Source organism: Homo sapiens, chromosome 14 (assembly GCF_000001405.40).
Source record: "Homo sapiens chromosome 14, GRCh38.p14 Primary Assembly".
Taxonomy (NCBI): domain Eukaryota; kingdom Metazoa; phylum Chordata; class Mammalia; order Primates; family Hominidae; genus Homo; species Homo sapiens.
In genome coordinates, this window is record NC_000014.9 from 34,010,067 (window position 1) to 34,024,096 (window position 14,030).

The following is a 14,030-nucleotide window of genomic DNA, read 5'->3' on the forward strand; positions in this document are numbered from 1 at the left end:
CACTCTCAGATTCCCAGCCTTCACAACCTGTATGAAATAATGGACATATTTTAAGCTGCCAAGTTTTGGCACAATTTGCTATGCACATTGCGTAATGAACACAGAGAGAGATGAATGAAATTCATATTATATAGGTGGAATTGCCAGGACTTTGTGATCATAGCTATTGGGTATAGAGTTGCAAAAGAAGTAAAAAGAATCCCGAGCTTTGGACTGGCTCACTGAGGTTCTATTTTTAGAGAAGGGGTTGGAACACGGGAGGAAGAATTTTGCGGAGAAAGAAAATAATTTCCATTTTGAACTCATTAAATTCGAGAGGCTGATGAGATTTTCAGGTGAATATGTCCCCTGGAGATTTGAAAATATGGCAGGGTGTTAGAGTGGAGAGGGCTGTATGGATAGATATCACTGGGGTAGAGGAGAACCATGGCAGTGGAGGGTATTTCCAAGGAGAACAAGGAGATAATAAAGGCAGATGAAGGACAAACAGCAAGAATTAGATATATTTTTGGTCCCAAAAGTGGAAAAAGAGAAGTAATGCTAAAAAAAAAAAAAAAAAAGAAAAACGGTAAAAACTCTAACGAGAGTTTTGATAAGAAGATATTCAACAGTATCAAAAACTATAGAAAGAGATCCCTATGTCTGGAAAGTTTGGCCTCACATTATACATCTGCATATTAGATTATCTATAAATCTCCTAGTTGGGGTAAGTCAACACTGGCTGCACAGATTAAATCAAATTTCAAGAGCTACAATGCAAAAAACAAGAACTGAATTGTGGTCACCCCAGCAAAGCACTGGCCACCATGTGAAGCTCCCCACAGGTGGTCTATGTGTCTTTTTACAATACTCCTCTCAAATTACAACAGAAGGGACGCTCATGGTTCTCTCTAGACAACCTGCTCGTTTTAGAACGGGGGTTTTTCAAGTTGCAAAATATGGAGACCTTCTCGTTTACTCCAGGATAAAGATACTTAGGAGGCTTGAGGAAGCAAAGAAAATGGTTTCTGGGGCTACATGTGAGGCCTCATGGAGAACTGGAACGTGGTTCAGGATGAAGCAGCAGTTTCTCCAGCAGCCTGCCATTTCTGAAGCATCTCCTCCACTGAGTCCTTTCTCTACTTGCTGCTTCTTCTTAATCTTCTGCTAGCAGATGCCTTTCTATGCCTCCATTCATATCCTCTTCTACTGAAGTCATTACTTGCTTCATAGTGTCTGCTCACTGCCTTCTTTCCACGTCTCTCAGTTTCTGTGTCAACACTGGACTGCTGTCTATCAGTTGTCTGCTTTTCTCTAACTCTCTGTTCATCTCTGTCCCTAGTTCAAATCCCCCAAGAGTGGCTTTGACTGGTTCAGAAAGTCCCTATCCAGTGCCACCTTAGGCCACCTCCTAGGGGCTAAAAGCCTAAAGCAGTGTGTCTTTTGGTCAGTTGTTAATTCCTGGTTCAACCATTCGTCGCCAAAATGGTGGGGGAAGTGGATATCGAAGGCTAGAGAATTCCCTGTGGTCCCTTTTCCCCAAAAGGAGGCAGTGGGCCTGGAAGCTACTTTGTCTTAATGATGTTTCAAGTAGTATCCCCCAGTGAGCTAATGGTTTAAAACTTCCTTTTCTGAGTACAGATTCCTTCTAGAAGGGTTTTTATCTTTAATATTAGCTCAATTTAGAGCAACAACTACTTGTGGTACTAACCCTGAAAGCAGCACATGCTGGTTGCTTACTGACGAAAAATCAAAGGTAAAGACAGAAAATACCGGCTTAACAAGGCTTTGATAAACTGAAAAAGCCTAAAATTATTTCCGTGAACTCTGCTAACAGTAGCCAGTTAGTTCCTGCTCTTCATTCGTATTCATTCATTCATCACCACCTAGTTAGTAGGTATTCTTCTAGTGTGAAGAAGAAGCTGCTTAAGACAGAAATCCTACCCTCAAGGAGCTGACTCCCCAAGACAGGAGAAAGCAGGTACATCTTTCTTCTCATCTCTCTCTTCCCCAGTTCAACTCTCTCTTTCCTCCCTTCCCCTTTACTTCATGAATTTTTTTTGTAAATATGCCCATTCATAGTCAGTTCCTTCCTTGCCTGTGTTTCCTTTATTTATTTTTTTTATGTTTTAGAAACAGAGTCTCACTCTGTCACCCAGGCTGGAGATTCATCATAGCTTAATGCAGCCTTGAACTCCTGGGCTCAAGTGATTCTCCTTCCTCAGCCCCTGGAGTCGTTAGGACTATAGGCACATGCCACCATGCCCAGCTAATTAAAAAAACTTTTTTTTGTAAAGATATGGGTCTCACTATGTTGCCCAGGCTGTTCGAGTTGTCTCAAACTCCTGACCTCAAGCAATCAGTCCTGCCTTGGCCTCCCAAAGGGCTGAGACGAGAGGCATAAGCAACCCCACCCAGCTGCCTGTCCTTCCTTACTGTGTTGTCAAGGATTCATAGGAGCCCTCACAGACTCTGCCTTACCAAACATGTAAAAAGTAAACGTGGCTGGAAGAACACACACCAAAAGATCAACAGCGATTACTCCGGGGAGGTAAGCAGGATGGGGCAGGAAGTGGATGGTTTTTAATTTACATACCTTTATAGTGTTGGAATTTTTTTTTCTTTTCTTTTTGAGACAGAGTTTTGCTCTTGTTGCCCAGGCTGGAGTGCAATGGCTTGATCTTGGCTCACCACAGCCTCCGCCTCCCAGATTCAAGTGATTCTCCTGCCTCAGCCTCCCGAGTAGCTGGGATTACAGGCATGCACCAACACGGATGGCTAATTTTTTGTATTTTTAGTAAAGACGGGGTTTCACCATGTTGGCCAGGCTGGTCTCGAATGTCCGACCTCAAGTGAACCGCCCGCCTCAGCCTCCCAAAGTGCTGGGATTACAGGCGTGAGCCACTGCGCCCGGCCAGTGTTTGAATTTTTATAAGCTTTTGTTTAGAGATTACTTATTATACTAGAAAAGTAAGTTAGAAGTAAACATTTTCTATTAAAAAAATGAAAAGAAATGAGAAGGAATGAACAACTGTGAACAAATGAAGTGGGTAAAATTTTCCACGGCCCTACCTCAAGGTTACTTTGGTTTCTTTTTTGTTTTTTGACAATCACTAAGGAAGCTCTGTGGAGTGAAGGAGGAACATCATCATCTGCAAGTGACTCAGAAAAAATCTCTTTTGTCCTTTAGATTTGTTTAATTCATGTAGATTGCTTTCTTATTCTTGAAATTCAAGTGACCGTATTCTTACTTTACTATAGAAAAGCAATTGACATGATAAAAATAAGCAAGCCATTTGGGACGTTGAGATTTTCGAGGTAGGTAATGGAAAATTTGGCGGTGAGGGGTCAACAAGGGATGATTTTTCCTAGACGTGTGAGCTTCCTGTAATGTGGAATGTGTACGTGTGAAATCACCAGTCTCTATATTTGCAATAACTTAATAACATGACGGTTCCTCCACCCGTCCTCTTTCCCCACACTGAGTTCCAGTTTCACACTGGGATACTCATTGTGAAGCTTTACAAAGAAAGGAGGAAGTAAACCTACCAACAAGGCAGCAATGTGTTTCAAATGCCACATTCTTAACAGATGAAGGTTTTTTTCATCACACTGATTAGCAATGCCACATGAGTCAAAGTGGATGGTCCAAATCTTGTATTTAATTTTCTTCTCGTGTCCTGGGCCTTTCAAATTTATTAATTATTGTTTACAAGGCCTTGCCTTGCTGGCGTACATTTAGCAGACACTACAATCTTAGCAAGGGTCAGCTTTATCTTGCTGCAGGGTTGCACCTGCTCCCTCAACTGAACTAAAAAGGAAGTAAAAATGTGGTATTTAAGTGGCCACAGCCTTTTGTCTGATGCAGGAAAGCAACGAGAGCTTCTGTTTCTTCACCGTTGTTCATGCTAAAGGGTCTCCAAGTGTATAACACTTAGAGGAATTAGTTTCCTGCTCCCTAAAAGCAAAGAGGTCCGCAGAGAAGAGACAGCAGCTGGCCAGTGAGTCCCAGTAATTCCCAGCAGCACACCAGGGTCTAACAGAGGAGACTACTGTGTTTGAGGAAACTGACGGGATCTAGAGAGAAACCAATGCTTAATGTTTGTCTATCATTCCTCCTAAAAATTAGGTAAGAGCAAAAATAGGCAAATTGCTGCTTGAGGAATAACTAATTTAGTAATAGTTCAGAATAATGCATTGCATTGCCCTTAGATTCAAAGTGGTGTTTTAAGTGACATTCTATTAGCAGAGCCTGCCAGCTGACAAAACTTAGGTAGTATTTGGCTCCCTAAGAGAAGGCAAACCATGAGCATGTGGATTTTGTTTTGTTTGGTTTTGTTTTTTTGAAGACGGAATCTCGCTGTGTTGCCCAGGCTGGAGTTCAGTGGCGCCGTCTTGGCTCACTGCAACCTCCGCCTCCTGGGTTCAAGTGATTCTCCTGCCTCAGCCTCCCAAGTAGCTGAGATTACAGGCTCGTACAACCATGTCCAGCTAATTTTTTTTTGTATTTTTAGTAGAGACAGGGTTTCACCATGTTGGCTAGACTGGTCTCCAACTCCTGACCTCGGGTGATTCACCTGCCTCAGCCTCCCAAAGTGCTGGGATTACAGGCGTGAGCCACCACGCCCTGCTGCATGTGGATATTTTAATTAAAGTTGAATACAGAACTCATTGTGCTTGATATTGAACTTCCTGGGACTACCGTGGCCCACTACTTGAATCTTAGTCCTGACATTGTTAAATGCAAGCAGCTCGGGAGAATGTGGTGGCTTGCTTCAGAGAAAGAAAAAAAGCACTTCTGACAAAATCCCAGAAGCTAAGGTTATTCACGGTTATAAAAGCAGTAACAAAAGTTTTGAATGTTGGTTCTACTGTTTACAATTTTAGAAAAATGTTGTTCGCCTGTCCTTTGATTTTATGAGGCAATTTTGAAAAACATCAATCAAAGAACTGCTCTGAATCTCCAGGTGTGAAAACAGGGGATGACAGGAAATCCAGATGGTCAAATTATGGGCAGAGGTTTTATATTTGTGATTGGTAGAGAGAAGGAGGCCTGTGTCTGAGGCACAACAGATGGGAAACAACCAACTTCATCACTTAAAGAATTATCCTCACTCTCACCCCACAATCTGGAAACAAGTGACAGTGTTGCTCTGCGTAAAGATAGCAGACCTCTTCCAGATTAGGGGGACTTAACAGAGCCGTTTAATTACTTTTTGGGTTAAGAAGTTGCCATCATTATCTCCATTAGTTAATAAGAGACTTACTGCCAGTGACTAAAAAGAAGTAATTACTATTATAATTTTTTAAAATTACACATACATTTCACAATTCTTTTTTTTTTTTTTTTTTTTTTTTTGAGATGGAGTCTCACTCTGTCACCCAGGCTGAAGTGCAGTAGCACAATTTTGGCTCACTGCAAGCTCTGCCTCCCAGGTTCATGACATTCTCCTGGAGAAGAGGAATATGGTATCAAACATCAAAATTTACTAAAGCGGCCAGTCTAGCAGATCATTCAGTCTTTGGAATTCCTTTTATTTATCTTTGAGTTCAAAATTCTGACCTATGTTTGTCTCAATTTAGATTACTGCTAAAATGGAGAAAAAATATGGCACCCATGAAGCCGCTGAATTAAAAGAAAGCATAAACTAACCTTTAAAAATAGTTTGAATTAAGCTTCTTTGGAAAGGGAGATTATAAGATTGGCTAATGCTCAAAAATGGTAATTTTCCTTTGTTTAACTTAAAGTAATAATTTATCTCAAAATAACATCACAGTTACTTGTAAAGATGATGGTATCTGGCTTTTCATTTGGAAGTGTTTTCCAGAAAGCAACTCAGGAATGTACAAAGTTAAACCTATATACACACCAGGTGTATGCGGTCAGGGGTACGCTTTGTTTACCTGTAACTGATTTTAACTTCTTTTAAAGTTAAAATTGAATTGCTCTTCTTTTAAAGAAAAATGTGCATCACTTTCATTTCAGTGGAGTTTTTTGTTTAACTCAAATAAAAAAGATAACAAAGAACTAATAGCCATATTCAATTGTTTAAAATCTTACAAATTAATGAAAAGATAAACAAGAAAAAAATTATGTCAAAGGACATAAATAATTTTGAAATGGCCAATAATCATTTGAAACAACATTAAACTTCATTAAGAATCTAAGGAGTACAAATTATAACAAGTATAAGATGTCATTTTTCACTAGAGCAATTGGAAAGAAAAATTTTAAATACTTAATGTTGGGGAATGTATATAAAAATAAGTGCAAGGATATACACTGCTAGTATAAATGTAGTGTGAGTGCGTGTGTGTATATATACATCTACATATATACCTTCTAAAAGGTATTGATTCAAATTTATTATATATACACATATATTATATAAGTATTATTTATATGAACATATACAAATATATGTATATGTATTTATCTAGATACATAATAAATATTATAAATATATTTATATTTATTTATATTTAGTGGACAATAATCATTTGAAACAATGTTTAGCTTCATTAAGAATCTACGGAAGAATGTTCCTGAAGGTTCTTCATGGAATGAAGAAATGGAATGGACCATGAAGAAATGGTCTTCATGGAATTCCCAGCATACCTCATACCAGAGAGAGAGAATATAACATCCGTTGTTCCCCATTACTATTCTCATTACATTAAGGATGAACAACAACCAGGAAGCGCAAAACTCTGGCAGCCATAAGCATATCTGAATATGTGATTTCTAATATTTATTTCCTATGTGATACACACACACTCACACACACACAGACACAGAGTCATGTGTGTTTTAAAGCCTTAGATGGGTGCATATTCTTTGATTCAATGACTAGATATCTAGAAATTTATTCAGAAATAATCACAGATATGCTCAAAGATATAGCTACAAGGATGCTCATTAGACAGCTATCAAAAACATTATCAAAAACTTGGAGACAGCCTAGATATCCAAAAATAGAGGGTTGCTTAAGTATGTTATAAAACATTTATACAGCAGAACACTACGCGGAGGCAGAGGAATATTTAATGTTTATAATACATTAAATGAAAAGGGAGCCAGGCATAGTGGCATGCACCTGTAATCTCAGCACTTTGGGAGGCTGAGGTGGGAGGGTAGCATAAGCCCAGGAGTTCAAGGTTGCAGTGAGCCACAATTGTGCCACTGCACTCTAGCCTGGGTGACAGAGTGAGATCATGTCTCAAAAAAAGAAAGAAAGAGAGAGAGAGAGAAAGAAAGAAAGAAAGAAAGAAGAAAGAGAAAGAAAGAAAGAAAGAAAGAAAGAAAGAAAGAAAGAAAGAAAGAAAGAAAGAAAGAAAGGAAGAAAGAAAAGGAAAGGGAGATTTCAACACTATTGCATCACTTCAGTTTTGCATTTACACAGTGAAAATTATAGTAAAACAAATCATGCTATTGGTGGTTTATCTCTGGGAACTGGGATTATTGGTGATTTTGATTTTATTCCCATTGTTTACCTGTCTTTTCTATAATTTCATAAAAAAACAGCTTTGTTGAGATGGCATTCACATATCATACAACTATTAATTTTCTTTTTTTTTTTTTTTGACATGGAGTCTTGCTCTATCGCCCAGGCTGGAGTGCAGTGGCGCAATCTCAGCTCACTGCAACCTCCACCTCCCAGGTTCTAGCAGTTCTCCTGCCTCAGCCTCCCAAGTAGCTGAGATTACAGGCGTGCACCACCATGCCTGGCTAATTGTTTTGTATTTTTAGTAGAGATCGGCTTTCACCATGTTGGCCAGGCTGGTTTCAAACTCTTGAACTCAAGTGATCTGCCTACCTCGGCCTCCCAAAGTGCTGGGATTACAGGTGTGAGACACCACACCCGGCTATTACTTTTATAATTAAGAAAAAAAGCAATAAAATTATTCTTACTGATTGAGGTAAACCTCTTTTGGGCAAATAATTAATCAACATGTCATCTCAATTATTTTAATATTGGGTTCATAGCTAGCATTTATCCAGCACTTTAAATTTTGCAATGCACCTTTACTTTTACACAAGGTTCTTCTAGCCAAGTAGACCTCATTGCACATAAACAACTAATGACCTACACCTGTTAAGTTGCAAGCAATTAAGTCTTGTTGGGGGTCTTTGCTCCCTTTTAATGGAAATTATACTGTGAATAAGACGAGAGAAATATATGTCATGTCTGTCTTTCTGACACACTGTGGGTTTTCAAGGGATTCTCAGCATGACTCCTACCAGAGAGAGAGAGAGAAAGAGAATATAACATCCGTTGTTCTCCGTTACTATTCTCATTACATTAAAGATGAACAACCACGCAGGAAATGCAAAACTCTGGCAGCCACAAGCATATCTGAATATGTGATTTCTAATATTCATTTCATTTTCCATTAACACACAAAACTACCTTATTAAACGTGAATAAAACCTGCATCCAGAGACACTTAAAATGTTGGCCAATTCCTCACTGAAAGGACCTTAATGATGGTGGGAAGCTTGAAGAGGGGCTTGGAGAGAGGTTTGCAGGCTTCGGGTTGCCAGGGACACTTACCTTCTTGGCTTCAGCACATCACACAGTCTCAGACGGCAGAAAGAGCCAACGCGTTGGAAAACAAGGGTCAGTACAAGGGTTAAATGAAAGTGAAATCATGCTGACCCAGAAATGCAAATCGGTGTGCCTTAGTTCTCTGTAGAACTTGTGTTGCCTGAACACTCTATTCTTTCTTCAGATTATCTAGTGTCCCAAGAGAGGCTTCAGCGATTTCGAGAACAGTGATGCAATGTGGAGAGACGCGGCAGGCAGCGGCAGAATCTAATTGCATTTGAGAAGCATCTCCACAATTTGTAGTGGCCTTCTCACAGGGAAAAGCGGGGGGCCGGTTTTGAAGTTGATTTCCTTTTCTTTATATTGCTTTTACTATCCTTCTCAGCTCAGATTCAAAGCTCAAAATGGGAGGTGATTTTTAAACTGTCTTTTAACCCATCATAAAAGGAAGAACATGCGCACTTAGAGATTTATAATTCTCATCTGCATTGTGTTCTCTAAAGTTGCAACGTGTACAGGAAGCTCCTGGTTGCTGATAGAAAGCTGCTTGAAATATAAATTTCAGGTACACAATGTGGTTCTCATCACGAACGGAATTAGAAGGGAGAGAAGAAGGGAAAATGGAGGGAGAGAATAGGGGCGAGGGGACAGAAGAGAGGTGATAAATCAGAGATGAGTGCCGATTTTAAAGAAAAAACAGAAGCTGAGAACTTATTAGAGGGACTCAGGATAGAAAATTGAACAAGGTAAGCTAAGAATAGATGGCAAAGGGATTATGAATGTGGATCTAGAGCCAAATGGCTTGAATCTGAACCATCACTTAATTTCTAGACAACTTTAAGCAACCTACTTACCCTATTTGCCTGTGCAAACCAGGCTGGGCGTGGTGTGAGCCACCGTGCCCAGCCTGGTTTGCCTTCGTTTTAAAAAATAATTATGAGAAGTCAAGTTCTGAGACTTGCATACATGGTACTTGCTGTTTTTCACTCCTTGCACAGGGAAATCTACATTTGATGGTCCAGTTTACAAACTTTTAGGATAAGAATGCAATACAGATTTTGCAAATAATTCTTAAAGACCTCCTTTACGTAATGAGCTATGGAATACAAAGATAAGTGAGACATTGTCCTTGTTCTTAAGGAGTTCGAGGTCTAGAAGGAATGACAGATCTGTATTAAAGTCCCAGGAGGCGGTATATAATAGCTGGTCAGGAGGAAAACTTTCAAGTCTGGAAAGAGCAGTTCCTAAGTTTCAAATTGGAAACTGAAACATGAGTACTGCTTTTAAACGCAAGGCCAGCCCCATGTTTTGCAGGTAAAGGATCCTACTTAAGTTTGGGGCTGGAAAACCAGCTGAATAGATACTGTCTCAACTCCATGACAGAAGATAAATGTACTATCAGGGTCCAGATATAATAAACATAGGCAGACAAAAATCATTATTAAATTGAACTGGGTTTTTTTTTTTTTTTTCCCAGGGGGAGGGGTGTGCCTGAAGTGTTAAGCCTAAAAAACAGTATTTCCCAAGGAAAAAAGATGTCCTATTATTAGCATCAAATTAGAGAACTATTTGTACAGCCAGGAAAGTCATGGATATTGTGTCACATGGTTGACATCCATGGGTTTGTCTCATAAAAGTAACGTGAAAAAAATCCACAGAATCCCACCTGGCACTAGGAAGGCTATGAGCTTTCAGCATCAGCTCTCCAAGGAACTGCAAACTCAAGGAGCCAGCTTACCTCACGTGTTCCTGCACTTTGTAAAATTTCTTCAGAAATTTAAATTAAAACCGGTTCTTTAGTAATAATCCTTGTTTTCATCTTTGTTGCTTTCATCTTTGCAACAATTTAAACATGTTGTTCATTTTCTGAGTGTCTGCCATGAGACTGGGAAATTAGCTATATTGAACATAAAGCAAAGCTAATTCTAGGAATTTCCAAAGACAAAGACAATTCCTAGAACGTCTTTCTATCAGGGAAACTTGAGGGTAAGTTCCAGAGAGTTCACTTTCCAGATGGCACTGTCCTCCAATAACTGAAATGATTAAGGCCTGAATATTTGCTGAATTGCTTGAAATAAGAGCCTAGCCTTTAGCTAATAGGTTCTGTCCGTCAGTCTCCTGAGTTAACGAGTTATTGGCTTCTACTTCTCTTTCTAGCAGGTTAGTGCTACTAAGTAGAAAAAGTAATTATATTAATGGAAAAATCAGTGTCCAACACATTCTCTAAGACCTGACTCAAATGTCACCTCCATTACTGCTTCCCTGGTCTCTATACACGGCTCTTTTGGAGTCTTTGTCACATTGAATGGAAACTGTTTCCAGGGTCCATGTGCTCTTCTATATCATTGGCTCCTCAAGGGCAAGTATGGGAACATATGCATTTTGGGGACATAATGCCTGATACATAGTAGGCATTCAATCTGAATTAAATGAATAAAAGTCAAACAGGGAGAAAACAACATACTAACAAAATCAGCGAGACAAGAGGCCCAGAGAAGCAACAAAATCCCACCCACCCTTCACAAGGGCATACACAAAGAGAAGAGCAATGAGAGCTACTTGAGATTGTGGTGACACATCCAGTAGGCTGCTGAAGAAGTTGAATGTCACCCATGAACAGGTGTGAAAGCCAGTCCTTTCTCCCTGCAGCCTGCCACTTCTCTTTGCAGGTGACCTTGCCTTGCTATTTCCCCTTGGCTCTGGCCCTACTGGTCAAGGCGACGAACAACTCTAGAGGCTGGATGTGTTATCTGGGGCGAGTCTCAGGCTCATGCCCAGGGAATACATATATGGCTGGGGTATGTACCTATTATCCCATACATAATTAGATATGTATTGGAGGTCCTTGTTGTTTTTTGCTGAGTTTTAATGGAGAAGGGAGAGGAATGGGTTTTACAGGCAAAATTCTCCATGAATGAACAATGTCGCCTCTGAATGGGCCACACGCTTGAATTAATATATCTAGCTGCACAGCCTCCCAAAGATACACTATGAAGTTTCATCACCTCATTATACAAGCCTTTATCAAGCAAGAAGGAGGGGTTGTAAACTCTATACCAAACCAGAGTTTCAAGAAAATCTTACATCTTTTTACTCCGATGCTTTTCAAAGAAAATTTGTGTCTTTGTAAACACTCCTGGTGGTTGTGTCTGTAAACATAATTTTTAAAGCAATCTTTTAGATTAGACATGGATAAACAGTGCCAGAAATGGTATATAATGTTTTAAGTTCTAACGTTAGCATTCATTTTAGTATTTCCACTTCTAGGAACAGACATTCTTGAAAAGTTTTCTTCATTTTTTAAATTGGGAATCAAAAATTTTAGAGCTAGCAAGGGTCTCGTCAGTTATCTAGTCCAACGTACACAGCCTAGACTTTCTCCTGCGGCACAGAAGTAGAAAGAAACAAGTTCACCAACCTTTGTACTGTCATGAATCTAATAAACAGGATTTGGCCAGGCGCAGTGGCTCACGCCTGTAATTCCAGCACTTTGGGAGGCCGAGGCAGGTAGATCACCTGAGGTCAGGAGTTTGAGACCAGCTTGGTCAACATGGTGAAGCCCCGTCTCTACTAAAAACAGAAAAAATTAGCCAGGCGTGGTGGCGGGCACCTGTAATCCCAGCTATTCAGGAGGCTGAGGCAGGGGAATCACTTGAACCTGGGAGGCAGAGGTTGCAATGAGCAGAGATCATGCCGCTGCACGCCAGCCTGGGCAACAAGACCAAAACTCCATCTCAAAAAATAATAATAATAATAAACAGGATTTGATTACAGATTAATGAAAGGTAGTATTTTCCAAAATGCATTTCATATAAAACTAGAAATTTCTGAGATAATATTTTTAAAGATTATGTAATCAAGTAAGTTTTACAACTACAAGGCTAAACAAAATTTTTAAAGCTCTTTTGATTTATTTAAAACTGTCAGACTTCTCAGAACCTTTAAGACATTAATGTGTACACCATGAATATCCATGAAAAAGGTAAAGCATGCAATGGAAAGGGCCCCCAAACTCCCTTTTTTAATAGATCAAAGTTCAGGAAAACTGGCTACAAGGTGTTCAGCTCTAATATGTAATTGCAATTTGTGGTAGCTATTAGCTTCTAACCATAGACATAGAATGTAAATTTGTCCTTGAGCTTCCTAGTAGCCAACGCAAAGATGTGATACATTAATAGATTAAAAGTTCATGGTGTTCATCCAATGAAAACAAACCGGTTATGTATATAACTATGATTTGGTAATCAAAATAATATTAATAATACTTTTCTAAAATAACAGAAAAAATTTAAAGAAAAAAACAGTTGTTCCAGAAACAATAACTATTTTCAATACTGCTCCTCAAGGGTGTTCATAAAGAGGATCAGGATGGCAACCTTAGCAACACCCCTCTTCAGTGCATAAAATAATCAGTTTGCAGACAGTCTGATTCTTTTCTGGCATATTGCCACAGGGCAATTCAGTGGAAACAGGTGTACAAGAAGTCACTCCAGCTGCCACATGTTCATAGCTCTTAGTTGTCTAACTTAACCCAAGATTCTAGGCCCACTCTGCCACTAACCAGTCATGCCTGTCTCTAAGGATGAATCATTTGCCTACTGTGGAGTTGAACTAGATGTTCCCTGAAATTCTGTTGCACAGTTCTAGAAGTCTAGAGGATCTATTTCTTTTTTTTTTCCAGAAAAAAAAATTCAAGCTTCCAGTGTCCTTTAAAAGTATAAATCGAACCCTGTATGTATATGTGACTTAAGTAGTCACACTCATAGGGGATATGTTTAACACATCACTACATTTTTTTTTTCTTTTTTTTTTTTAGAGAGATGGAGTCTCACTATATTGTCCAGGCTGGCCTCAAACTCCTGGGCTCAAGCCACCCTCCCGCCTCAGCCTCCCAAAGTGCTAGGATTACAGGCATGAGCCACTGTGCCCAAACGCATCATTATAACCTTGAGTACATTGTCAAAAATTTGGAAAAACTAAAAGAAAAAGAGAGAAACTAAGAACAGAAGTAGGAGAGCCCCCAAAATAATTCTATCCTCTTCAGCATTTTGCTTTAAATCAACCTTAGTTTCTTTAGGAGGCTTTATTAATAATAATAACAGAAATAATTATCATAATTTGCTTTAAATCAGCCTATAGTTTCTTAGAGGATAGCAATAATGGTGACAGAAGCAGCAGCAAGCACCTATCTGGGGCTTCTTATGTATCACATCCTATTGTAAGCATTATATATAATTACACCTTTAATTCTCACAATAACACAGAAAGGTAGATACTATTCCTACCCTATTTCACAGATGAGGAAGTTGTGATTCTGAGGAGGTGAATAACTTGTCTAAAGTCATGTAACTGGGAGCAGCAGATCAGGAATTCAAGCCGGATCCAGAGTCTGAGGTTTAACTAGCACACGCTGCTGCCTCCCGGTGAGTTCCTGCGGTAGGTGACTGCTTGCTGCTGGTGTAAGAGGTGCCCGCTCTCCAGCTAGACCTTAGATATTAGAGA

At 39.4% G+C, this 14,030-nt stretch overlaps 1 long non-coding RNA gene across 1 annotated transcript in view, besides 1 other annotated feature; it reads right to left on the bottom strand.

Moving 5' to 3' along the window:
- LOC102724945 (uncharacterized) overlaps positions 1-14,030 on the bottom strand; it is a 244,858-nt gene that overhangs the window by 51,196 nt on the left and 179,632 nt on the right. The window lies entirely within an intron of this gene.
- Positions 3,909-4,078: an enhancer, noted in NCBI's record as "active region_8245". NCBI's record gives its function as "activates an Ori minimal core promoter by ATAC-STARR-seq in GM12878 lymphoblastoid cells {active_cell/tissue: GM12878}" and the evidence as "EXISTENCE:reporter gene assay evidence [ECO:0000049][PMID:35858748]".